At 50.0% G+C, this 26327-nt stretch overlaps 1 long non-coding RNA gene across 1 annotated transcript, besides 2 other annotated features; it reads right to left on the reverse strand.

Annotated features, from left to right (window-relative positions):
* Positions 10107-10719: an enhancer, noted in NCBI's record as "H3K4me1 hESC enhancer chr3:126094973-126095585 (GRCh37/hg19 assembly coordinates)". NCBI's record gives its function as "activates a minimal SCP1, AML or CMV promoter by ChIP-STARR-seq in naive H9 embryonic stem cells {active_cell/tissue: H9 hESC(naive)}" and the evidence as "EXISTENCE:reporter gene assay evidence [ECO:0000049][PMID:30033119]".
* Positions 10602-26225, reverse strand: LOC107986044 (uncharacterized). Its single transcript, XR_001740563.1, has 3 exons — positions 26160-26225; positions 23612-23878; positions 10602-10950 (listed from the first exon to the last, which is right to left on the reverse strand). It is a non-coding gene; the product is annotated as an uncharacterized LOC107986044 (long non-coding RNA).
* Positions 23509-24057: an enhancer, noted in NCBI's record as "H3K4me1 hESC enhancer chr3:126108375-126108923 (GRCh37/hg19 assembly coordinates)". NCBI's record gives its function as "activates a minimal SCP1, AML or CMV promoter by ChIP-STARR-seq in naive H9 embryonic stem cells {active_cell/tissue: H9 hESC(naive)}" and the evidence as "EXISTENCE:reporter gene assay evidence [ECO:0000049][PMID:30033119]".
* Positions 26226-26327: the final 102 nt, after the last annotated feature.

Here is a 26327-nt window from a genome sequence, read left to right on the forward strand (position 1 = left end):
GAGCTGGGGCAGGACACAGCTGAGGCACACGGAGGGCAGTGCTGCCTGGCACTCACCTGTACCCGTGTTGGCTGCCACAGGGTCCTTATTGTCCTTGCACCTGCATGACTGTAGGAGCCTGCTGCCCCCTGGCTTGGGAGTGAGGAATGTAGGGTCAGGGTCCTGGAGGTCCCAACAGTGACCAGTGGCTAGGTGGGTACAGGCCAGCCACTGCGAGGAGCCAGGACACAGTCCCCATGCTGGCACAGAGACAAAAAAGAACAGTGTCTTAAACAGGAGACTGTCTCTCTCCCTCTGGCCTCCCACCTGCTGAGTGTCAGGGATGGGGATGGTAACCCAGTGTGGGGCCCAGGCTCCTCCCACTTTGTGGCTCTGCCATTGCTCAGTCACAGCCCTCACTCGCGTGGCCCAAGATGACTCAAACACACACACACACACACACACACACACACACACACGGGCTCCAGCCCCTGGGGAGAGGAAGGAGGGCAGGAAGGCACAGAGCTGCTCTATAAGGGAATCCGGCAGAAGGAGTCATCATCAGCCCAGGGTGTGATGTCTCCCTGCCAGCAGGTTGGGAGCCTGGAGACCTGCAGGCTAAGCCCTGCTCTAACTGGCTGCAGAGATCTGAGCAAGTCACCACCCTCCACCGGTCTCTGCTTTCTCCTCTGCACCAAGAGTTCAGCCAAAACAGCCTTTGGGGGGTCTTGAGTGGAGGACTCTTAACTTACAGCTCTTTGGGGGCAGATGGGACAATGCCTTGGGGAAGGACAGATGGTTTGGGCTGCTAGGCCTCCCTGGGCTATGGCATGAGGAAGGGGGCAGACCATTGACATAGCCCTGGAACTTCCAAGCTTTCTTAGAAAAACATCTGTGGACCACCAGATAATATAATAGGTAATTTTACTGAGTGCTTCCTGTATCCCAGGCACACAGCTGAGAGCTAACATTCGAGCAATTACTGAAGGCCGGGCACTGTTCTGAGTGCTCTACAACTTCCACCTCACCTAACATATAATCTCCCGCTAGGCAGGCGCTATTGCTATTGCCATGGGCATGGTGAACCCATAAAACAAGAACCAGCCGCCATGAAAAAGGAGCACTCAGAAAACGAGAGATGATTCCTGGAAATGTAATGCTTGATGATATCCATGCAAACTCAATCCAAAGACTGAAGAGCAGAATGGACACACCAAAGGAGCCAAATAAAACGACAGATGGAAATCATGAGAATATTCCACAGCCAAGGCTTCAGTGTCCACTGGAAAGGAATTGAGTTCCCATTCAGAAGGGAAGACAGGTCCAAATCACCTCCCCAGCCCCAGCCTGCCCTCCCCAGCTGAATCTGGCTGGCGGGCATTGATGGGTGACAGGGAGTTAATGAGTCACTCCTGCCTGGTTAAAGTCCTCAAAGTTTAACACATGTTTTTCAGGCCAACCTTGGCCCTGAAGTTCCCATCCCCTTTCCCCAAGGTGCCCGTCCCGTAAGCCCAGCAGACTGGGGTCACCGGCTGTCACTCAGCTCCAAGCTGCCCAAAAGGAACCAAGGGTGGGCCATGGCTCAGCACATGAGGGGGAAGCTTCACACACAAGGAGGGGCCTCAGAGGGCAATGAGATGGCACCACCCACCCAGCCCGATACCAGGCACTTCCACACAATCAGGATAACACCAGTCCGAGTAGCATGAAGACAGAGCATGCCAATGGCCAGTCCTTACACTGGGAAATGTTCAACCTCACCACTGATCAAAGAAACACAAATGCAAACAAGATGCTATTTTCATCCAATTGACAGGGATATTCTGGAATTATAACACTGTTGGAAAGAGGTTAAATAGGTACATTTCCAGAAAACAACCTTGCACTAGAGCCCTGAGCCGGTAAGTCTATGTTCAGAAACTGATTCAAAGAAATTCAGATTTGCAGCCAGATTTATGCACAAACTTGTCCTTTCCGATATGACTTGCCATTGAGAAAAAAATGGAAACTAGTTAATGACCAACAAAAGGAAAACTGGTCATAAACTATGTCCCGTGCATGCAATGGAACATCATTTATCTATTTAAATCAGGTTTTTAAGACTACTTGATGAAAGTTAAAACTCTATATAGGAATTATTCTAGATATGATTTTGCAAGGAAAATTTATTCATAGAAAAAAATTAGAAAGAAATCAATACAGAAATATTCAAGTTAATGATTTTTCAAATATTTATGTTGAATAGTGGGATGACAAGTGCTCTTTCTTTTTAGCATTACATATTTTGCTTTTTCAGATTTTTTACAATGAACATGTATTACTTTTATAAACAGAAAAAAATGGTTTGCTTTATGTTTGTTTTGATTGTGCAACTTAGTTATTATTTTGCAATAGTTTTTCTGTAAATTTTCTCACTGACCAAACCATCAGAATATACAGACAAGTATAAGAAGAAAACAATTATTGATAACCACATTATTATTAATATTTTCTTGCTATATTACCAAAATGGGAACACATCATACATACTGCTTTGGAGGCTTTTTTAAAAATTATAGTTAAAGGCCAGGCATGGTGGCTCATGCCTGTAATCCCAGCACTTTGGGAGGCTGAGGCGGGAGGGTCACGAGGTCAGGAGATCAAGACCATCCTGGCTAACACGGTGAAACCCTGTCTCTACTAAAAAAAATACAAAAAATTAGCCAGGCATGGTGGTGGGGGCCTGTAGTCCCAGCTACTGGGGAGGCTGAGGCAGGAGAATGGCGTGAACCCGGAGGCGGAGCTCTCAGTGAGCCGAGATCGCGCCACTGCACTCCAGCCTGGGCGACAGAGTGAGACTCCGTCTCAAAAAAAAAAAAAAAATTATGGTTAAAGACACATTAAAAAATTTACCATCTTAACCATTTCTAAGTGTACAGTAGGGTTAATTATATTCACATTGTTGCACAACCAATCTCCAGAACCTTTTCATCTTGCAAAACTGAAACTCTGTCCCCATTAAACCAGTCCCCATTCCCCCTCCCACTAGCCCCTGGCAACCACCATTGTAATTTCTGTCTCTATGAATTTGACTGCTCTAGGTACCTCATATAAGGGGAATCATTTAGTATTTGTCCTTTTGTATCTGGTTAATTTCACTTAGGGTAATGTTCACAAGGTTCACCCATGTTGTAGCATGTGTCAGAATTTCTTTCCTTGTTAAAGCTAAATCATATGCCACTGTATGGACAGGCCACATTTTGTTTATCCATTCACTCATTGAAGGACAATTGGGTTGCTTCCAAAGCCTTTTAAAGACAGAATAATATATTATTATATCATTTCTATATTTTTTCTATGGCAATAATGATACATTAATATCAATCACTTTTAAAGGTTGCCTAGTGATCCATAGAGGTAGATGCTTCATAATTGATTCAGCCAATCCATGCTTGAAGAACATGTATATTATTTCCAATTTCTTACTCTCATATGCAAAACTGCAGTAATTGGCCTAGGGCATATGTCTTTGTATATTGATCCTACTATCTCTTAAAGAGAATTTGAAAGTGGGATTTGAGCATCAAATGTTCAAGGGGTGATATTTGTGACCCTGTTGCCCTCTAAACCTTACATTCATGCAGACCCCTGCATCCGTAGTTCCCTGTCCTCATGGTCATTGTCACCACTGGGTGGCCTCACTTTGTAAAAAGTGACACTTTTTTCTGTCAATTTTTGTCAGTATGACAGGTTAAAAAGTGTCATTGTATTCATTTGCATCTCTTTGACACTTGATGAAGTTGAAGGTTAGTTCATACTATTGAAATATTGGACAGGCAGATGGGCCTTCCTTTTACAGGGCCTGTTCGGGCCTGTGCTTCCTAGAGGAGTCTTGCCCATTTCCTTGCTGAGGTGCACGATCTACTTGCATGGGAAGGACCCTCACACTCTGCCTGGATCTATGGCCAGCAATCGTTTGGGAGTTGCAGAATTTGTTGTATTTCCAAATATAGTTACGGATTCTGCCTTTGGTGTTCTATTTAGAACCCGTCTGCTTCAAGACTGTGTGTGTATCTAGTCACATTTTTCACTGATGTCACATAGTCATGTTCACATGACTTCTGGGACTGTCATGGTTTAATGTTACCATCCACCTCGTTCATGCAGCTTTAATTTATTCTGATGGGCCTGTGCCGAGGTCAGATCTCAGATGTGTCAAAGCCATGGCCAGGCCAGCCCCAGTTGCCTGTCATCCCTCAGCACCTTCCCCACAATGTGTGAGACCTTTACACTGTCCCCACCTGCAAGAAGAGAAAGACCGTCCGCTGCCCAAGGCTGAGCCTCCCTGCACAGGCCTGCCCAGAGACCTTTACTGTTTACAGGAGGACCCAGGAGAACATACCAGGTGCAGAGGTCCTATGGCTGGGATTCCAGGCACCACTGTTGTCCCTAGTAATGGAGGAGCCACCATGGGATGGGGGGCTCTATGCCTCCCCAAGAGCCACGTCAGTGAGTACCTGCTCTCCCTGCACCTGGAGACAATTCATTATTGGTGATATCAAACTGCACCCAGTCGATTACAAAGCCACTGCCTCCTTCAGTCCTCACAGGAGGCTTTGCTGCTTGAGTTCTAGGGAAGAAGCTGAGAGAAGCCAAGAGCACAGAGGGACTTCAGTGACATAGCTACAGGGCGTAGAGGCAGGGCCAGGCTCTCACAGCGTCTACACTTTCTGCTTCGGTGGCAGCCGAGCCGCAGCTGTCAGGTGGGAGCCTTGGTGGAACCTGCAAGCTGTCAGGGCTGCCTAGGGAGACTGGGGAGCTTGGCCAGGCACACCAGAGCAGAGGGCAGGCAAGGAGTCTGCAAGCCTGAGACCCAGGGACCCTCAGCTGCCCCCACCCATACCCACTCCTGCATTCCAGCCCCCAGCCCAGAGCCCAGAGCATGCACCTTCCTGGGGGCGCTTTTCCCTGACATCCCCCTGTTCCTGGCTACAGATGCAGTTCATACGCTTATTCACCCAACAGGCATTTACTGAGTACCTACTATGTGCCTGGTACTGTTCTGGGGACACAGCATTCGCCACAGAGGCAGGATCTACCTTCTGGGAGCTTTTATTCCACTGCGGGATATACAGGGGCTCCATGCAGAGAATGGAGAAGTCCCAGTGGTGCTCAGTGCTAGGACAGCTCTTTGTGGAGGCCCACGGCGTGCCAGCCCAGCCTGCGCCCAGCCCAAGGGCAGGGAGCACAGCACGGTCTTTGTCCTCATGAACATTCCAACCAGACAAGCATGGAGGCAAAGGGAAGCTGCTTCAGGTGGGCTGCGTCGGGGTGGCCTCTCCACAGAGGTCCTGCTGGAGCTGAGAAGGAGCTGTCTTGAGAGGAACCAGGGAAGGGTGACCCATGCGGAGGCATGGGCTGGGGGCGGGGAAGTGCCAGCACGCTGGTGGCTCTGCAGGACGCTGAGGCTGAGAGCAGCAGATGTGGGCGATGAGTGGGAGCTGTGGAAGCTGCGAGGAGGGCCTGGGTCGCAACAAGCAGGACACGCCCCACAGTGAGCAATCACCTGGCTCAACCTGCGGGTGTCTTCCGGCAATGCAAGCATCACACCGTCATGCTCGCCGGCTCCTGCGGTGGTGTGAGCCCTGGGTGCACAGCTTCTTGCTCCATTCCATGCACCTCTGCCCTCCTTCTATGAAGCGAGGGTGCAGCCATGCAGCTAACCATCCTGACCCACGGAGTGGCTGCAACTGGCGACTCAGAAACACTGTTGTAGACCATAATAAAGATTTTTGTTGGTATTCTCAGAGCAACGGGAATGCGCTGACGTGTTTAAGCAAGAGAGAGACTTGATCTGACTTCAGTTTTTTAAGATTCCTTTGTGCCATGTGCAAAAGCACAGCTGAGCACACCGATGCACATCATGGTGTGGCTTACAGTAGCCAAAAGGTGGAAGCACCCGAGTGTCCATCGACAGATGAAGAAGCCAAATGTGCTCTATCCACATAATGGAACATGACCAGCCTTAGAGAGGAAGGAAATCTGTCATATGCAAGGCACAGATGAACCTTGAGGACATGGTGCTGAGGGAAACAAGCCAGGCATGGAATGACAAGTCCCATGTGATTCCTCTTATACGAGGTCCCTAGAGCAGTCAGGTTCACAGAGATGAAGAGTGGAATGGTGGTCACCAAGCTTTGGGGGAGTCTGTGTTTAATGGGACAGAGTTTTAGTTTTACAAGATGAAAAAGTTCTGTGGATGGATGGTGGTAATTGTTGCATAACAATGTGAATATGCTTAATGTACTGAACTGTACACTCAAAAATGATGAAGACAGTAATTTTATGTTACGTATACTTTACCACAATTTAAAATAAAACAAGGGCTGTCGGGATGTATCAGCTGGTGCCCCCCAGGAGAAACCAGCACACTCAAGCAGGCCGAACAGAATAAATGTCATGCCAGGGCTCGTGACAGAGGCAGGCAGGTTAGAGGGTGCAGCTCCCGGGAGTGGAGGCTCCCACCCCACCCAGAGGCCTGGAGGAGCTGAGGACAGGGCCGGTAGGTGGACGCATAGGAGCCACCCGACAGGCACTGCTGGAACCTCGCCCAGACAGAGGAGTAGGCAGCCAGGTGCCCTGAGCTGTCTCTGCTGCCTCTACCCCAGTGTGCTGGTGCCTCCTATTGATGAAACCAAACCAGAAGTCAGTGTGTCTTGTCCTAGAGGTCAGCCTCAGGACACTGTGGGGGCCAGGACAGGGCAGCACAGGGAGCTGAGCAGTACAGGAGACAGATGGGAGTCGAGGGAGTGGGGGCTCTACCCCAGTAGTGGCCATGGAGATGCAAATGGCCTTGAGAACATATTTTGGAGACAGAACCTCAGGACTAGGTGCATTGGACATGGTTGAGAAACAGGTTTTGTTTTGCCTTTCTTTGGTAACTCTGAAAGGCAGAAGGTGCTAAACTGTGCTGGAGAGAGGCAGGGTGGAGTGGAGAGAGACCAGGTTTCAGGCAGACAGGCCTGGAGCCAGCAGGTTCCAGCACAGACCCAAGGGTGAGAGACGTTCACAGTATCTAACCACGGGAGGGCGCAGGTGCCGCAGAGGGATGGGACAGAGGTGTCCCCTCTGTTACTGGCCATGAGAAGCCCAGAGGTCACCAAGGAGGGCCAGCGACTGCAGTCGCTGGGAGTCAGGGGTATCTGGGGTGTTCAGGCAGTGCCCTTTGCCCAGGCTGGAATATTTTCCCAGCTGCTCCATCCATGCCAGGGCCTCCTGGGTGTGTTACCAAAAGAGTGGGGAAGTTGTGCTTGAATATTCTAAAGACAAAGGAAAAACTCAGAGGCAGAGCCCAGACCAGGGTGGCCCATGGGGTCAGGCCACCAGCCAGAACCTGCAGGGAGGAGGAAGACCTGGACATTCCTCTCTCCCTGCCTTGCCTGCTCAAGGAAAGGCCTGTGGGAAGGGGCCGGGCCTGGACCTCACAGTCCCTACATGTCACTAGCCAGGCCAGGGCTGTTTCCAGTTGCACATTTAGGAAAGTGTAGTCAGCACTGTCAAGAAAATCAACAAAGACAAGAATAAAATAGAAAAGGAAAGGAGAGCACAGCAGAGCTCATTGCGGGTGCAAGAGAAGTGGTGTCCACTCTCCTTTCAGGCTTGGGACAGAGAATAAGTTTCTGAATTCAGGTTACAACATTTTAGTGCCTTGAGAGGTGCTGTGTTTGTGGGCAGGGGTCTTGGCTTCTCTTCAACATCTGCACCCAGCCCCCTGCACCCACTCCCCCTACTCAGCGCCCCTGACCTGCGATCTCTCCCTCTCCCTCTGGTTTCTGCCTCCCCTGGCTTGACGCGTCATCCTACAGTGCCGAGTCCTGATGTGAGCACCATAGGGGCAGAATCATGCTGAACCTCTAGCCCCTTTCTTCCCGTAATGCCAGGACGTGCCAGCAGCCCTGCACCAGCTCTGCTTCCTCCTGTAGGGTGGTCAACCCTGTGAGCCAGGCCCCCTACTCTGCTCGGGGTCACCAGCTGTTCTCTGGACCTGCCCAGGCCTGTGGATCATCCTGCCTGGGAGTCATCGGCCACCTCCCCTCACCAGCCTGCAGGCCATCCTCGTTCCTCAAGGCCTTGACCTCTTCAGCCACCTGGAAACGGGCCTTTATCTGGTCCCGGTCCTGGCTGGGACTTGTTCCATGCCTCTGGCCACTTCTTGCAAAAGCAAATGCTTCTCATACAGCACTGGGCATTTTGCCACTGTTAGAGAGGCCAGAAAAATTCAGGGACTTGAAGGGCTAGAGAGCCTCAGAAGTCAGATGTGGTCTGTGGTCTCTGCACTCGGGAGTGCAACTCTTTCCATGCGATGACACGAGAATGTGTAACTGTATCAGATTCAACTGGCAGATTGGCAGCAAGGTTAACAAGACGGTCTTGAGTCTCACTCCCAGACAGGCGGAGCCAGGGGCCCAGGAATCTGCATTTGCAGGAGACACTCTGCTAATTCTGAAATTCCTAATTCAGTCAAACTTCATGCAGAGTCACGGTCATGTGCCAGCTCTTGTCGGGCATTTGGGCCACGTCCGTGAACACCATGGACAATGACTTCTGCTCTCAGAAAGCTTGTATTGTGTGAGGGGAAGACAGAAAGCAAGCAATAGACTCAGGCAGTAAGTGACAGGGAGTGTCAGAGGGAGACATGAGAAGTGATCATGGACAGGTGGCGGTGCTGGGGGTGTCAGGCTAGAGCTATGGGCCACAATGTGGAGCAGGCCAGTGAGAACAGGCCTCACTGAGGTGACTGAAATCTTGGAGGTAGAGTAAGGGGAGAGGAAACAGGCAGTACAAGGGTTCTGAGGCAGCATGCCTGGTGTAACTGCGAGGCGGAGGAGGCCTGTGCGGCTGCAATGGCACAGGGAGAGTGAAGAGACAGTGAGGCCAGAGAGCCTGCTGGGGATGCAACGCTGAGTGAGTTTGAGCCATTGGAGGGTTTTGAGCAGAGAGATGACGTGGTCTAACATGTCTTCAAGGATCCCTCCCTCTTGGCCCACCAAGAACAGAATCCGGGTGTGGGGTTGGGGAGGATAAGGCAGAAGCCAGAGACCAGCTGGAGACTCTTTCTGTAACTGGGGCAAGGGTGTCTGAGGCGAGTGACAGCCAAGGCACGAATCTAACAGGATCCTGCCTGGGATGGGCTGCTCAGCCAGGCCAAGCTCTGTTCCAAGTGATTCCCGAGTAATAACTCATTTAATGCTTGCCCAGCCCTGTAAAACAGGCACACTCATTGACTTGTTTTATAGAGAAGGTTATGGAGGCACAAAGAGGGTGAGTAACTCACCCTGGGCCACACAGCCAGAAGACGACAGAGCCAGGATTCAAACCCAAGTAGTCTAAAGTCAGAGCCCAAGCCCTTAAAGAGTCACATTTTGGCTGGGGCGCAGTGGCTCATGCCTGTAATCCCAGCACTTTGGGAGGCCAAGGAGGGCGGATCACGATGTCAGGAGATCGAGACCATCCTGGCTAACACGGTGAAACCCCGACTCTACCAAAAATACAAAAAATTAGCCGAGCAAGGTGGCAGATGCCTCTCGTCCCAGCTACTCCAGAGGTTGAGGCAGGAGAATGGCGCCACTGCCATTGAGGCAAGATCATGCCACTGCACTCCAGCCTGGGCAACAGAGAGAGACTCTTGTCTCAAAAAGGAAAAAAAAAAGAGCCACATGTTTCAGAGACAGAAGCACAAACCCTACCCTGCCCTGCCCTGAGGGAGGACATTTGTAGAGAAAAGAGAACACTGGGCCCTGGATCCAGGAGGGGCCATCAGGGGGGCAAGAGGTCCACTCCAGTCTGACTTTGGGAGGTCCCAACTGCACTTCTCCTGGCGGTGTGGGCTCCTGCAGGTCCCTAGGCCTCCCCACGTCTCCATTTCACCTTGCGGGAGTTGAGGCCATGACAGGGCTGCCTCGCAGTTGTGGCGGGGGGGAAGGGACGGCCTGGGCACCATGTGCTCAGGAAGGTGCCTTAGCCCCGCCATTCCCCCAGCAGGGGCCAGAGGTGGTCTGGCTGAGCAGAAGAGGCAGGGCCGGAGATGGGATGGCCTGACAGGAGCTGGGGAGGTCTGGGCCCCAGGGATGGCAGGAGTTGTGACAGGCAGGAGTGACCACAGCAGTGGAGCTGCATCAAGGGCCTCCCGGGGGACAGTGGCCTCCTGGGAAGCAGAGGAAACAGAGTGGAGGCGGCCCCAGCCCCCTGCTCAGAGGCCGGCTGGCGTGCAGCCTTCCTAGGTCTGGACCTCTCTGGGCCTCTGTTTCCTCGTCTGCAGAATAGAGGAGCAAAATGCTGGCTGCACCAGAAATCCTCCTGGTCAGGGCACGGCTAGGAGGACACGGCCTCCTGCTGCAAACACTAGATGTGCTCTGCCAGCCGGGAACCTGCCCCTCTGCTGCTGTGAAACGCGAAATCCGTCTGTCTTGTTCTTTTTCCCCGAGGGTTCTGGTCCCTCTGAGGCTGTAAATCTGAAGCTTGCATCTTTGAAAGTAACTTTTATTTTCTGCCAGAAAGCTTCTGAGAGTTGGCGTTTTTCTCTGAGATCTGTAACAATGCCCCAGCTGTGGCTGCTGCTGAGCTTTCATGTTCAATTTCCTCAGTTCAGAAGAGGGTGCTCTCCAACCCCAGCCGGCTTCTTCACTCCCCTTTGGGATCTTAGCTGGTAAATTTCAACCATGTGTTTTGCCCTAAAGGGGAAGTCCTCTGCCAGCTGTCTGGAGGGCCATCCTTCCCATTCATATCCCACTCCTGGTGCATCTGGAGTCTTTGTCAAGTTCATCTCCCATGTTCACAAATCCATCAGTTTTCCCAGTGTTGTGGCTTAACTCTGTGGGTGTTTCTTTTCATCCTCCCTACCCATGTGCAATGGGTTTGAGGCCTTCTTTTCTCTAAGTAATGAGATCCATCATCTTCTGATACTTGCTTCTGACTCATGCAGCATAGGTGTTCCTAGCAAAGAAAGAAGTGTTTTTTCTTTGCTCTCATTGAATTGTTTCCCTGATAAACACCTGTGTGCCAGGCACTATATCATGCCCTGAGGTATGCCTTTCCCAAATGACTTCATCAGTGTTTGTGGCTTTTATTTTATCTGTTGGGTAGCGACTTCCAAATTTCTGACTCCTGCCAGGATCTGCCAGCTGAATTCCAATCACGGATCCAGCCACGTGTCTGCTACCTCTACATGGGTTTCTCTCAGGCACTCTCCCACCCCAGCAGCCTCACCCCTAATATTTGTGGAACTCAGGCCAAGAGTAAAATGGAGTCTACTGCCCTTCCCTTCCTGCCCTGGACACATTCAGGTCTAAGGCCTCACTCACACATTTGCGGACACCCAGGCTGAGTCCATGCTATGTCCACATCCCCACCACACTCAGGCAGACAGCACCCCTTGGCTTCTCTTGGGCTTAAGCGGGTGCAGACTCCAATACTGGGGATGAGTGGCAAAGGCTTGTGCGATCTTGAAGCCAGGTTCCCAGTTGTCTGCATAGGAGACTCTGGAGTCCAGAAACCCAGGACTTCATCTCCAACACTCTCATCTCCTGATCCCATGCCTGATGCATGGCCTTCTCCTGCAAATTCTCCTTTACCTCTTCCCTCCCCAGTGCCTCCGTCTTTGTCCCAGTCCTCTCCTCCTCAACCGGACCACAGAGTAGTGGCTTCCATATCTACCGTTGTCCTCTCCAATTTGCTTGGATTTTTGTAATGTTAATTAAGTTGTCTTTCCCCATTCAGTGGTTTTCCATTGCAGGTGGAAACACACAGACTCCTCACTGTGACCTCAATGGCAAGAAGGCCTTCTAAAGAGCAGCCACTGAAGGTGAAGTCTAAAAGCCAATAAAGAGCTGGCCTGGTGGGCTGGGTGCAGTGGCTCATGCCTGTAATCCCAAGACTTTGGGAGGCTGAGGTGGGTGGATCACCTGAGATCAGGAATTCGAGACCAGCCTGGCCAATGTGGCAAAACCCCATCTCTACTAAAAATACAAAAATTAGCTGGGTGAGGTGGTATACTCCTGTAATCCCAGCTACTCGGGAGGCTGAGGCAGGAGAATTGCTTGAACCCAGGAGGCGGAGGTTGCAGTGAGCTGAGATTGCGCCACTGCACTCCAACCTGGGTGACAGAGCAAGACTCTGTCACAAAAAAAAAAAAAAAAAAAAAAGCTGGCCTGGCAGGATCAGGGTAACCAAGGCTCTAGAAGGGAAGGAACAAGAGTGACAGCCCAGCAGTAGGGACCCCTGCCGTCACCACATCCTTCCTCTTGCTCTGCTCCAGCCCCATGGGCCAGGGAAGATGCAGTCTGTCCTTAATTCCATGAAGCTCCTCCTGTGCAGACATGGAGTCTTCCATCCCCTGGATCCGGGCTGGCCTGTGACTTGCTTTGGTCCACAGCTTGTGGCAGAAGCTATGTTGAACCCCTCTGAGCCTGGGTCTCAAGGCTTTGCCACTTCCACCCTCACACCGAAGACCCCTGCCCAGCTGTGTGTGACAAGCCCATGGGGGAGGAGAGACCATGTGGAACAGAGACAGGCCATGCCAACTAAGGCTCTCCAAGGCCACTCAGCTCTGCCGACTGGTGGCTGACCTCAGACACGTGGGCCAGGGCCAGGCCCAGCCCAGCAGAACAATGTCTCAGCTGAGGCCAGCCCAAATTGCCAATCCACAGAATCGTGAGCAAAACCAATGGTTGTTGTTCTAAGCGCTATATTTTCAAGTGTTTTCTTCCAGAGCAAAACTTGACTGACTCTTTCCTGTTGTTCTTCAGGCTCGCCAAGGCCTCCCCTACCACTGGGATGTCACTCTTGCACCTTCCCTTCTAGAGTTCGCTATACCCAGATCTTGCCAGGCCAGCTCTTTAACTGGCTTTCAGACTTCACCTTCAACAGCTGCTCTTTAGAAGGCCATCTCTGACCTCCCTTTAGGTAAGTCTCATTTTGTTTCCTCATGCTCCCTCTGTGAGGGGAGAACGTGCAGCCAGCAGCTCAGCGTGCAGGGTCTCCTGTGCAGAGAAGCCCTTTTCTCACTCACCTTCTCATTTCTCTGCCTGATTACCATCTCGCTCCCTTGCTGGGCTATAAGCTCCCTGGGGGCAGAGGCCATGTCTCTGCTCACTGTCACACCCCAGCCCCTTCTACCGTGCCTGGCACATAGGAGGAGCTCCATGAATGTTTGCTGAGTGAGGAACTGACTGAACTGAAGATCTACATCTGAGTCATCTTTTTCACCAACACCTAGCCCTTGCAACATGCAGGATATGTTAGTTCAGGGTGGGATGCATGGGTCAGTTGAAGCCCTGCTGAGTAACAAATAGGGCCACAGGCCAGGAAACAAAAACTATCCAGAGCCCATGGCTCTGGTCCCTCCTAGGCAGCTCTGTCCTTCCAGGTGCTAGGGCCAAAATCATCACTGGGTCCTCGTTGACTCCTCTGTCTTATAAACTGCATCTAGCAAATCGTTCACAACATAGCTAGGGTTTGGTCACTTTCCCTCACCTCTACAGCCCCCCTCCCTGCTTCAGGTCACTGTCACCCTTCTCCTAGACCATTGCAGTCGCCTTCCACCAGGCACATGATGCTCCCTGCATCAGGTTAGCTCCCTGTGTCTACCCTGCTTTCCTGTCTCTTCTCAACCCAACAGCCACAGTGACCCTTCAAAACTATGAGTGAGGCTGGGCACAGTGGCTCATGGCTGTAATCCGAGCACTTTAGGAGGCTGAGGCAGGAGGATTACTTTAGGCTAGGAGTTTGAGACCACCCTGGGTAACATAGCAACACCCCATCTCTAAAAATTTTCTTAATTAACCAGTTGCATGGTGGCATGTGCCTCTAGTCCCAGGTACTCTGGAGGCTGAGATAGGAGGATCACAGGAGTTTGAGGCTGCAGTGAGCTGTGATCACATCACTGCACCCCAGCCTGGGCCAAAGAGACAGACCCTCTCCCAGAAAAAAAACAAAACAAACCAAAAAACTATGAGTGAGATCCTGCCCCTATGAGTGTTCTCCCTTTCCCTGGGGAGTGAGGAGCATGGCAGTGGCCAGCGACCCTGTGGGCTCTGGGCTGCCCACCACACTCCCTTCACTGGCTCTGCACCAACCACACTGACCCTGCCCAGTCCCTCGGCCCCGCTCTGGGTCAGGGCTCGCCCTCTTGCTGGCTCTCTGCCCGGCATCCTCTTCTCCCAGGCAGTGGCTGACCCATGCCCTCTCCTCCTTCAGGTCCCTGTGCCCCGGGAGACCCCGTGGCCACTCTGTAAAATAGAACGCCCCACCACCCAGGCGGCTACAGCCCCTGGCGGGCCCCTTCTCCCAGCCTGCTGCCTGCAGGACGAGCTGCCTGGGTCTCCCTGCATCAGGTTAGCTCTGTGAGGGACGATTCTGCTCTTTTTGTTCCTTGCCGCATTCCCAGCATGCCTGGCCTGGGGGATGCTCCATCTCGCTTTTCCAAATGAGGGAGGAATGATTCTCACCTGTGCTTGTGGCCTGCCCCCCATGTTTCTCCCAAAGCCTCCTCTTGCAGCTCAAGCCCCTGCCCACCTCGCTCCACTGCAGGGTCAGGGTAGAGAAGCACCCGGCAGGTGAGAGGCAGCTCATCCTGGACCCTAGGGCCTTTGCATGCTGGTCCTGGGCTGGCCAGAGTCCCCTTCACAGCAGCCGCACTCTTCTCCAAGGGACAGACCTCTCTGGCTTCCTCAGAGGTGACAGGGACTGCACAGGGCAACTGTGTTTCTGGGGTCACTAAGCTGGATGTACACAGGGTCCGGCAATCCCTTATCCGATCTGAACTTTGCCACCTCAAGTCTTAGGAACGTGGCTCTCTAGCTCAGCTCCACAAGCGTTCCCAAGTTCTCACTCTCTTCTGGGCTGAGGAGGAAAAAGCCATCTGTGCTCACAGCCTTTTAGGTGGCTGGGCTCGTCGCCGGCAGAGGAGAGGCATGCATAGGACAGGCCCCACAGCACAGCTCTGGGGGGCAGCACAGGCAAAAGCGTTGCTGGGCAGTGTTCTCCAAGTTCTTGTCACCCCACATCACTAACCAATTCCTCCTCATGGGCTGGGTGAGCCTGGTTGAAACTATCACCATCCCTCCCTCTACCTTTCAGGAGAGCACACCAGTGAGCTCAGGGCTATCCAAAGTGTCCGGATGGAAACTGGAACAAATGTTAAGGCACTGGGGGACAGGGAATCACTCACTCTTTTATATTATTTTTAAGTGTATCTACTAAAAAAAGTCAAGCTTTTAGAGAATTAAAGTCAGTTTTATGTAGAAGCCTTACTGAGGACTATAGACCGAGGCCCGTAGCTGGGAGCAGCCCTTTTGAAAGGCTCTATCAGGCCATTTCTGCACAGTGATTCTGCGCATGGCTTATACCCAGGTGGTGCAGGTGCAGTATATCCAGTCCCATCAGAGTTTGGGTGCAAGAGTATATCTGCTTATAGATAACAGAGGCATAATCACTAAGCTCATCAGATGTTATGTGAGAAAAAAGGCAAGGACTAGGGTCATTTTCTTTTAAAGAATACAGTGACACAGGCAAGAGACATAGGGGACCATGTGCTCTGCCTTGCTTTGTCTTCAAAGCATTCTTCCAGAGGGCTGCACTCATCATAGAGGCAAGGGCTTTGTAAAATTCTGCAAAATTTAATTTAAAATTAAAACAAAAATAAACAAACACGGCTTCTGACATTTGTTACTTTGTCTTGAAAGTGTATTTTTCTATTTATTGTTTGAGACAGGGTCTCACTCTGTTGCCCAGGCTGGAGTAGAGTGGTGTGATCATAGCTCACTGCAGCCTCAAACTCCTGGACTCAAGCAATCCTCTCATGTGCTGGGATTACAGGCGTGAGCCACTGCACCTGGCCTTCACAAGTGTACTTAGGTTGCATTGAATCCATTCTGACCTCCTTAGATGCAGGGAACGGCCTGCTCACCACCCCATTTCCCCAGGGTCTAGTTAGCCAGTAGCTGGCATACAGAGGGGAGTCCCAGTCATGTTGGCTGCATAACAAAGATGCCAGAACTTAGTAGCTAAAACAATGACAATGTTTATTTTGCTCACAAATCTTCCACTTGCATGGGGCTGGGAGGGGATAGCAGATTTCTGCTTTGCTCAGCATCAGCTGAGATGATTCAAAGTCTGGGGGCTGACATTACCTAAGAGATTGCTCATTCACTTGTCTGGGAATCGACGCTGACTGTGGGCTGAGACCTTAGCTGGGATTTTTAGCCAGGACACCACATGTGGCCCCTCCATGTGGCCAGGGCTTCCTCACTACATGGAGGCTGGTTTCCAAGGTAAAGCTTCCCAAGAGAACACCAGGAGGAAGCCATATCACCTTTTATGGTCTAGCCTTGAAAGTCATGCAGCCTCTCTGAAATTGAGGCAATAATTAATGGCCTACCAACCAAAAAAAGTCCAGGACCAGACGGATTCACAGCCAACTTCTACCAGAGGTAGAAAGAGGAGCTGGTATCATTCCTTCCGAAAATATTCCAATCAATAGAAAAAGAGGGAATCTTCTCTAACTCATTTTATGAGGCCAGCATCATCCTGATACCAAAGCCTGGCAGAGACACACACACAAAAAGAGAATTTTAGACCAATATCCCTGATGAACATCGATGTGAAAATCCTCAATAAAATACTGGCAAACTGAATCCAGCAGCACATCAAAAAGCTTATCCACCACAATCAAGTTGGCTTCATCCCTGGGATGCAAGGCTGGCTCAACATATGTAAATCAATAAACATAATATATCACATAAACAGAACCAATGACAAAAACCACATGATTATCTCAATAGATGCAGAAAAGGCCTTCGACAAAATTCAACAGCCCTTCATGCTAAAAATTCTCAATAAACTAGGTATTGATGGAATGTATCTCAAAATAATAAGAGCTATTTATGACAAACCCACAGTCAATATCATACTGAATGGGCAAAAACTGGCAGCATTCCCTTTGAAAACTGGCACAAGACAAGGATGCCCTCTCTCACCACTCCTATTCAACATAGTGTTGGAAGTCCTGGCCAGGGCAATCAGGCAAGAGAAAGAAATAAAGGGTATTCAATTAGGAAATGAGGAAGTCAAATTGTCCCTGTTTGCAGATGACATGATTGTATATTTAGAAAACCCCATCGTCTCAGCCCAAAATCTCCTTAAGCTGATAAGCAACTTCAGCAAAGTCTCAGGATACAAAATCAGTGGCAAAAATCACAAGCATTCCTCTACACCATTAACAGACAAACAGAAAGCCAAATCATGAGTGAACTCTCATTCATAATTGCTACAAAGAAAATAAAATACCTAGGAATCCAACTTACAAGGGATGTGAAAGAACTCTTCAAGGAGAACTACAAACCACTGCTCAACAAAATAAAAGAGGACACAAACAAATGGAAGAACATTCCATGCTCGTGGATAGGAAGAATCAATATTGTGAAAATGGCCATACTGCCCAAAGTAATTTATAGATTCAATGCCATCCCCATCAAGCTACCAATGACTTTCTTCACAGAATTGGAAAAAACTACTTTAAAGTTCATATGGAACCAAAAAAGAGCCCACATTGCTAAGGCAATCCTAAGCAAAAAGAACAAAGCTGCAGGCATCATGCTACCTGACTTCAAACTATACTACAAGGCTACAATAACCAAAACAGCATGGTACTGGTACCAAAACAGAGATATAGACCAATGGAACAGAACAGAGGCCTCAGAAATAACACCACACATCTACAACCATCTGATCTTTGACAAACCTGACAAAAACAAGAAATGGGGAAGGGATTCCCTATTTAATAAATGGTGCTGGGAAAACTGGCTAGCCATATGTAGAAAGCTGAAACTGGATCCCTTCCTTACACCTTATACAAAAATTAATTCAAGATGGATTAAAGACTTAAATGTTAGATCTAAAACCATAAAAACCCTAGAAGAAAACATAGGCAATACCATTCAGGACATAGGCAAGGGCAAGGACTTCATGACTAAAACACCAAAAGCAATGGCAACAAAAGCGAAAATAGACAAATAGGATCTAATCAAACTAAACAGCTTCTGCACAGCAAAAGAAACTACCATCAGCATGAACAGGCAACCTACAGAATGGGAGAAAATTTTTGCAATCTACTGATCTGACAAAGGGCTAATATCCAGAATCTACAAAGAACACAGACAAATTTACAAGAAAAAAACAAACAACCCTATCAAAAAGTGGGCAAAGGATATAAACAGACACTTCTCAAAAGAAGACATCTATGCAGCCAACAGACACATGAAAAAATGCTCATCATCACTGGCCATCAGAGAAACACAAATCAAAACCACAATGAGATAATATCTCACACCAGTTAGAATGGCAATCATTAAAAAGTCAGGAAACAACAGATGCTGGAGAGGATATGGAGAAATAGGAATGCTTTTACACTGTTGGTGGCAGTGTAAAATAGTTCAACCATTGTGGAAGACAGTGTGGTGATTCCTCAAGGATCTAGAACTAGAATTACCATTTGACCCAGCAATCCCATTGCTGGTTATATACCCAAAGGATTATAAATCATGCTACTATAAAGACACATGCACACATATGTTTATTGCGGCACTATTCACAATAACAAAGACTTGGAACCAACCCAAATGTCCATCAATGATAGACTGGATTAAGAAAACGTGGCACATATACACCACAGAATACTATGCAGCCATAAAAAAGGATGAGTTCATGTCCTTTGTAGGGACATGAATGAAGCTGGAAACCGTCATTCTCAGCAAACTACCGCAAGGACATTAAACCAAACACCGCATGTTCTCACTTACAGGTGGGAATTGAACAATGAGATCACTTGGACACAGGGCGGGGAACATTACACACCAGGGCCTGTCAGGGGGTGGGGGGCTGGGGGAGGGATAGCATTAGGAGAAATACCTAATGTAAATGATGAGTTAATGGGTGCGGCAAACCAACATGGCACATGCATACCTATGTATCAAACCTGCACATTGTGCACATGTACCCTAGAACTTAAAGTATAATAAAAAAAGAAAAAAAAGAAAGTCACGCAGCTTCACTTCTGCCACCTTGTGTGTGTCGAGGCAGTTCCAAAGACCCACCCAGATCAAGGGCATGGGAAACAGTCTCTGCGTCCTAATGGAGAATAACAAGTTTCGGAAAGAGCATGCAGGACTGGACATACTGCTTTGGCTATTTGTGGAAAACACTATCTGTCACAAACAGCTCTAAAATACCTTCAACATCCCAGGGACAAACTTATTCCAAACTAGAATCCTGTGCCCAGCTAATCCGCCAAGCAGGAGAACTTCTAGACATGCTGCCTCTCTAAAGTTTACCTCCTGCGATTCTCTTTCAGAAAGTTACTCAAAGAATGATCCACTAAAATATAAAAGTAAGTCAAGGAAGCAAAAGACACTTCCTTGCATGAATCTAACACAAGGAGGGGAAGGGAGGTCCTATGATGGCAATTATACAAGAAGCCGAAAAAATTGATCAGTCAAGATGAGAGCGGGAGGGAGGGCAGATGCAGGCGGGATATCTGCAGGAAAACAAACATATTTATGGCACTGATGGAATTATCTGTGTGTTTGTTTGTTAGAAAATGACATTTGACCAGATGCGGTGGTTCACGCCTGTAATCCCAGCAATTTGAGAGGCCGAGGCGGGTGGATCACCTGAGGTCAGGAGCTCAAGATCAGTCTGGCCAACATGGTGAAACCCTGTCTCTACCAAAAATACAAGAATCAACTGGATGTGGTGGCAGGCACCTGTAATCCCAGCTACTCTGGAGGTTGAGGCAGGAGAATCCTTTGAACCCCAGAGGCGGAGGTTGCAGTGAGCCAAGATTGCATCATTGCACTTCAGCCTAGGCAACAAGAGCAAAACTCTGTCCCCCTCATGAAAAAAAAAAGAGAGAGAAAAGAAAAGAAAAAGAAAAGAAAAATGATATACACAGGGTCGTGAGGATTAGTGATAATAATATACAGAATGGAACAGATGACAGTCAAACAAAATAGGACCCAGACACAGGCCTATGTATCCATAGATGCTTAATATATGGCACCAATAAAAGTGCATACCAGAGGACAAAGGATACATTTTTTCTTTTTTCTTTTTTTTTGAGATGGAATCTCACTCTGTTGCCCAGGCTGGAGTGCAGTGGTGCAATCTTGGCTTACTGCAACCTTTGCCTTTCGGATTCAAGCGATCTTCATGCCTCAGCCTCCTGAGTAGCTGGGATTACAGGCATGTGCTGCCACGCCTGGCTAATTTCTATATTTTTTGTAGAGACAGGTCTCGCCATGTTGGCCAGGCTCGTTGCAAACTCCTGGCTTCAAGTGATCTGCCCACCTCAGTCTCCCAAAGTGCTGGGATTACAGGTGTGAACCACAGCGCCTGGCCCCAGGATAGACTTTTTTATATATGATAGGCAATTGCTTATCCAAATGGAGAAAAAGTGAAATTAACCTTCTGTCTCACACTATGCACAAAAGTAATTTCCAAGTGAATTAAAGACCAAACTATAAAAGGCAAATCGGTAAGGTTTTTGGAAAATGAAGATATGTATCTGACAAAGGACAAGTATCCGCAGGACATAAAGCACTCTTGCAAATTAGCAGGGCAAAGACAAATAACCCAATAGGAAGTGCATAAGACTTCAAGAGACACTTCACAAAAGAGGAAAGCTGAAAGCTAATAAGCAGGTGGGAAGATGTTTGGCCTTATTGTCAACAGGGACATGCAAATTAAAGCCACAATGAGATAGGACTCTCCTAAAAGACTGGCAAAAATTAAAAGCCTTGGCAATAGAGTGTTGGCAAGGAAGTAGATAAAAGTCCCCGCTGGTGAAGTGTAATAGGTACAACCAGTTTGGAAGACAGTGTGGCGTTATCTAGTAACACTGAACACATGTACCTCTGATGACCCAGCAGGTCCACTCAAGAATGTGTGCCCAAGAAAAATCCTTCTTTCTGTGGATCAGGAGACATGTACACCATTGGTTTTAGAAGCATTGTTTTTAAAAAGGAAAAAACTGGACACAAGTCAATGTCATCAACAGTAAAAGGAACAAATAAATTTTGCTGTATTGGTACAATGCAATCCTACTATGCAGCAATAATGAAGGATCAGCCCCAGGCACATGCATCCATGTGGATGGATTTCACAACGCTGAGCAGAAGCAGCCAGTCCCTGGAGAGTAAGGGCAAATGATTCCATTCCATGAAGGTTTGCCAGTAAGAAAAGCCAAGCAAGTTGCTGTTGAAGAATACATACATGGGCCGGGCGCGGTGGCTCACGCCTGTAATCCCAGCACTTTGGGAGGCCGAGGCGGGCGGATCGCGAGGTCAGGAGATCGAGACCATCCCGGCTAAAACGGTGAAACCCCGTCTCTACTAAAAATACAAAAAATTAGCCGGGCGTAGTGGCGGGCGCCTGTAGTCCCAGCTACTTGGGAGGCTGAGGCAGGAGAATGGCGTGAACCCGGGAGGCGGAGCTTGCAGTGAGCCGAGATCCCGCCACTGCACTCCAGCCTGGGCGACAGAGCGAGACTCCGTCTCAAAAAAAAAAAAAAAAAAAAAAAAAAAAAAAAAGAATACATACATGGAGGAGGACGTGGTGGCTCGTAAAGGGGAACGTCCAGCTTTTACCACCTTCATTGTTGTATCATTGGGATTTTTTTACACCCACAATGTATTCATGCATTTCTTGTCTATTTTTGCAAACAGCATTTTGGAGAGTCTGTCAATTTATGTTTGGGTTTGCAGTTGGTTCACATTGGGGTTGGGTGAAAGCTTGTTGCTATAAGCCAGGCACGGTGGCTCACGCCTGTAATCTCAGCACTTCCAGAGCCTGAAGCGGGCGGATCACGAGGTCAGGAGATCAAGACCATCCTGGCCAACACAGTGAAACCCCGTCTCTACCAAAAAATACAAAACAAATTTAGCCGGGCATAGTGGCGGGCGCCTGTAGTCCCAGCTACTTCGGAGGCTGAGGCAGGAGAACCCGGGAGGTGGAGCTTGCAGTGAGCCGAGATGGGGCCAGTGCACTCCAGCCTCAGTGACAGAGAGAGACTCTGTCTCAAAAAAAAAAAAAAAAAGAAAGAAAGAAAGTATGTTGCTATAAGTTTACCAGGTGCTCTAATTAGCATCCTGTTAGTAACGGGTTTTGCACTAAAAGACCTTATTAGAGTTGGGGTGGACACCTTGGGTTAGGGTTTGGGGAAGATTGGGTTCAAAATGTGAGCCTCAATCAGGATTTGGAATAAATTTGGATCTGATGAAGCCAAGGCTGGGGTGGGGCTGGATTTGAAGTCGGATGTGGTTGGTGGCGGGGGGTGGGGGGAGGTGTCACTCCTGTAATCCCAGCCCTTTGGGACTTGCCAAGGTGAAAGGATCACTTGAGCTCAGGAGTTCAAGACCAGCCTGGACAACATAGCTAGACCCTGTCTCTACAAAAAAATGCAAAAATTAGTCAGGTGTGGTGGCATGCCTGTGGTGGCATGCCTGTGGTGGCCCTAGTTACTTAGGAGGCTGAGGCAGGACGATCGCCTGAGTCACGGAGGTTGAGCCTGCAGTGAGCCGAGATCACACCACTGCACTCCAGCCTGGGCCACAGAGCAAGACCCTGTCTCAAACAAAACACACAAATCTCAATTATGCATAAAATCAGGCTGAAGGTTTGAAATCAGGCAGGGTTAGAAGTGTGAGAGTGGTCCAGGCGTGGTGGCTCACGCCTGTAATCCCAGCACTTTGGGAGGCCAAGGCAGGCAGATCACCTGAGGTCAGGAGTTTAAGACCAGCCTGGCCAACATGGTGAAACCCAGTCTCTACTAAAAATACAAAAATTAGCCGGACACGGTGGCGGGTGCCTGTAGTCCCAGCTACTCAGGAGGCTGAGGCTGGAGAATCGCTTGAACCTGGGAGGCGGAAGTTGTAGTGAGCCGAGATCGCGCCATTGCACTCCAGCCTGGGCAACAGAGCTAAACGCTGCCAAAAAAAAAAGAAAAAAAAGAAAAAGAAAAATGTGTTAGCATTTTGGCAGAGGGGCTCTGTAGGCTTGGAGGCCCTGCCCAACATATCTCTGTGGATTCCTGTAACAACTCAAGGAAGGGACACTGGGGCCTGTGGAGGGGTCTCTGGCCCCTCCGGCGCCCCTTTGGTACCGCGCCCCGCCTGCGAGCTAGGAACTGTGGGGACCCGGCAGCGGGCGAGCGAGCCCAGGTCGCGGCAGCACTGCCTGCGCGGTCGTCTTGACGCCTGACCAGGGCCGGTTTTCAACTTGTTTACAAGCCTGCGTCACCGGGAACCTTTCACCGCCGCCTGGGACAAAAGGTTCCTCTTTGTAAGTCCCTTCTGGGCAGAAAGGGGATTCGCCGCCCGGCGCGCTGACGGTGCGGGGCGCCACGCCGTGGCGGATGCGGACAGCGCGCGGCCGGTTCGCCCGTCTGCCCCCTAGCGCCCTGCTCTTCCCGCCGAGCGCGTAGTCTGCCCATAGCCTCGGCCACCAGCCCCCTTTACATCGTCCACCCACCCACAGCGTCCTGCCGTCCACGCCTCGCCCACCCACGGGTTCCCCGCAGTCCGTGCCTCGTCCACCCACTCACTCATCTGCGCGTGGCTCAAACAGGCATGCCTTGTCCACTCCCTCCACAGGAATTTCCTCCTTTCATGGAAACAACTTGCCCTCCCGTCCACCGTCCACTCCATTCCCCATTCACTGTCCATTGACTCATTTGAGGAACTATCCTATGAACACCTTCCAGGTGCTACGCGTTGCGGTCAGCAGGTCACAGGACACAGCTCCTGTCCTCTGGGACCTCCAGGACAGCAGAGGAGACACCAGCAGAGGTCCTCGTGAAGTGATCATGGCTCTGGGGGCAAAAAGAGGACATATCAGCCGAGACTTGGGCGCAGGGGTGGCGAGGCTGGGGCTGAGACGGAAAGACTGGCTGCGGAAGAGATGGGAGGAGGACAGGGGCTAGGCCCTTGGCAGGGGCTCGGCAGAGGGGAAAGCCTGGAAACCAAGTGGGCTCCAGGCAGAGGGCACCGAGGGGGCCGCGGGAAGAGGCCAGACCCGAAAGTCCTCGTCAACAGCGCCACAGAGCTCGGGCATCACCCGGGGTCACGGTGCCCCCCAGCAATTTCTTCTACTTTTCACTGTTTTGTTATTATAGAAGTAATACATGTCTACAACTTCATTGTAAAGAAAAATGAGAGCGAGCAATAGGAAAAAAATAATCAGCCATAATCTCGCCTCGCAGACATAGTTTTCGGTGTATGTGCACATACGCGGTTTCCCCAGGCATCCGCTGGAGAGCGGCGCTCCTGGGCTAGATGACGAGGGAACCCAGAGCGAGCTGCCTACCTCAGGGCTTGCAGACACCTGGGTGGGGATGTCATGGAGTGGGTGCTATGGCCAAGCCAGAATCCATTCAGATCCCCCCATCCCTTTCCCTAACACAACGGATGCCGTCCAGGCACCAGCCCTATGGCACCGGGATGGGGCCTCCCACAGAGTCCCCAGCTTCTATCCCTGGCAGCGATTAGTTTAGGCATGCAGTTTTTTGGCTAAGATATGAGGAGAGGTGTTCTGAGGGGCTACTCATGAGAAGTTTCTTTGTAAGTCATTTCTGGTGAAGCTTTCTGTTTCTTGAAGCAAAATACAACCTAAATGATACCTGAAACTAGTGTAAAGACTACCTTCCCCGGGCTCCTGGGGCTAAATCACGCCCTCCCGGGGAGCACCCCTGATGCTCACATCTCCTACCCTTCCTCCTGTATCTGGATCCCACCCTAGCCTCCTCAGCACCATGGTCCCTCCAGCTTGCCTTCTGCCTCTACACACACTCTCTCTCTGTCTCTCTCTCTCTCTGTATGTCTCTTTCATTTCCTCTACGCCCACAACCTGGTCTAGTCTCAACCCCTCTTCCTGGCTGGCTGACCACAGTCCCCTAACCACCTGGGACCTGCACCCCACCCCCACCTGTGGAGACCACGCCCAGGAGCACACCTGGGAACCAGGCCAGTGCCATGCAGTTTTCTCACCTGCCATGCTGCATGCCCCAGCATCCTGCCTTCTGAACTGTGGCACTGGGGGTCTGGCTTTAATGACCTAGCCTCCACCAGAGCTGCAGGGAAGACCAGGGTCATTTCTCCAGGCCCACTGTGGGTCTGCACACCCATAAGGGAGCAAGATAGAGCCACTGCCAGGACCCTCAAAAGTGCTGTCCAGGGCACTTTCTCCTCTTCCTCGTCACCCATCCATCTCAGTCCCCCAGGAGATCCTGAAACTGCTCACACCAAGGTCAACCGATTTGTTGGCAAATCCAATGAACACTCTTCAGTCCCTCTCACTTGGCCACTCAAGAGCACTTGGCAATGTGGACCCCTTTCTTCTTCTCCTTTTGAAAATATTTATTGAGATATAATTTACATATCTAAACTTCACCCACTTAAAGTGCATTTTACTATATTCAGAGTAAATCTAATGTTCACCATAGTCTAATTTTAGAACACTTTCATCACCCTAAAGAGCAAAATCCCATCTCCATTAGCCACCACTGCCCATTTGCCTGTTTCCCCAATTCCATCTAGGCGCCTTCATAGGATATGTGGTCTCTTGTGACCACATATGAGCCCAGTCTTACTCTGGGCTCCAAGACCTTCTTTTTTATTCCACTAGCACTGTTTCTCTGACACTGTGGTCAAATGTGATATGCCTGGGATGTGGATGCCAAAAGTCATCCCTGTTTTTTCCTAGACTCCAATCAAATTATCCATCCATCTGAGCTGGCAGGAAAGCAATCTGATTAATGTGATTGCTCACAAAATATAAAAAGCATGCCAGGCTAGAGCACCTGGCAGGCACTGGTTGGGGACACGTTCCCAGAGAGGGAGGGGGGATGGGGCTTCAGACACTCTTTAAGGACTTTGCAGCTTTCCCCTGAAACATGGTCCTGCAGGCCACAACCCATGCAGGGGCTCCTAGGTCAGTGTAAGTAGTGCAAAGAGCTCATATCACTGCCCTCCCTGTGGAAAGCCCTTGACTCACCGTGAAGCACGGTAGACATGGCTGTCATTCTCCATAACCTACCACCTCTCAGCAAAAGGAAAACCCCCATGTGAGAGATCTGGGCATCTAAGGCATTTTACCTTGAAGGTGACTCTCCAATCCAGCCTGGCCTGCTGTGCTGTAGAACAACGGTGAGACCAGGTGCTGCAGGAAAGAAATACAAGCTGCTCTCTCAGGCTTTGTCGTTCTGGTAGACCTCTGAATACCCTGTCTGGGTACAGGACTACTCCTGACCCCCCTGGTTTCTG

Source organism: Homo sapiens, chromosome 3 (genome assembly GCF_000001405.40).
Source record: "Homo sapiens chromosome 3, GRCh38.p14 Primary Assembly".
In the NCBI taxonomy this organism is placed as follows: Eukaryota; Metazoa; Chordata; class Mammalia; order Primates; family Hominidae; genus Homo; species Homo sapiens.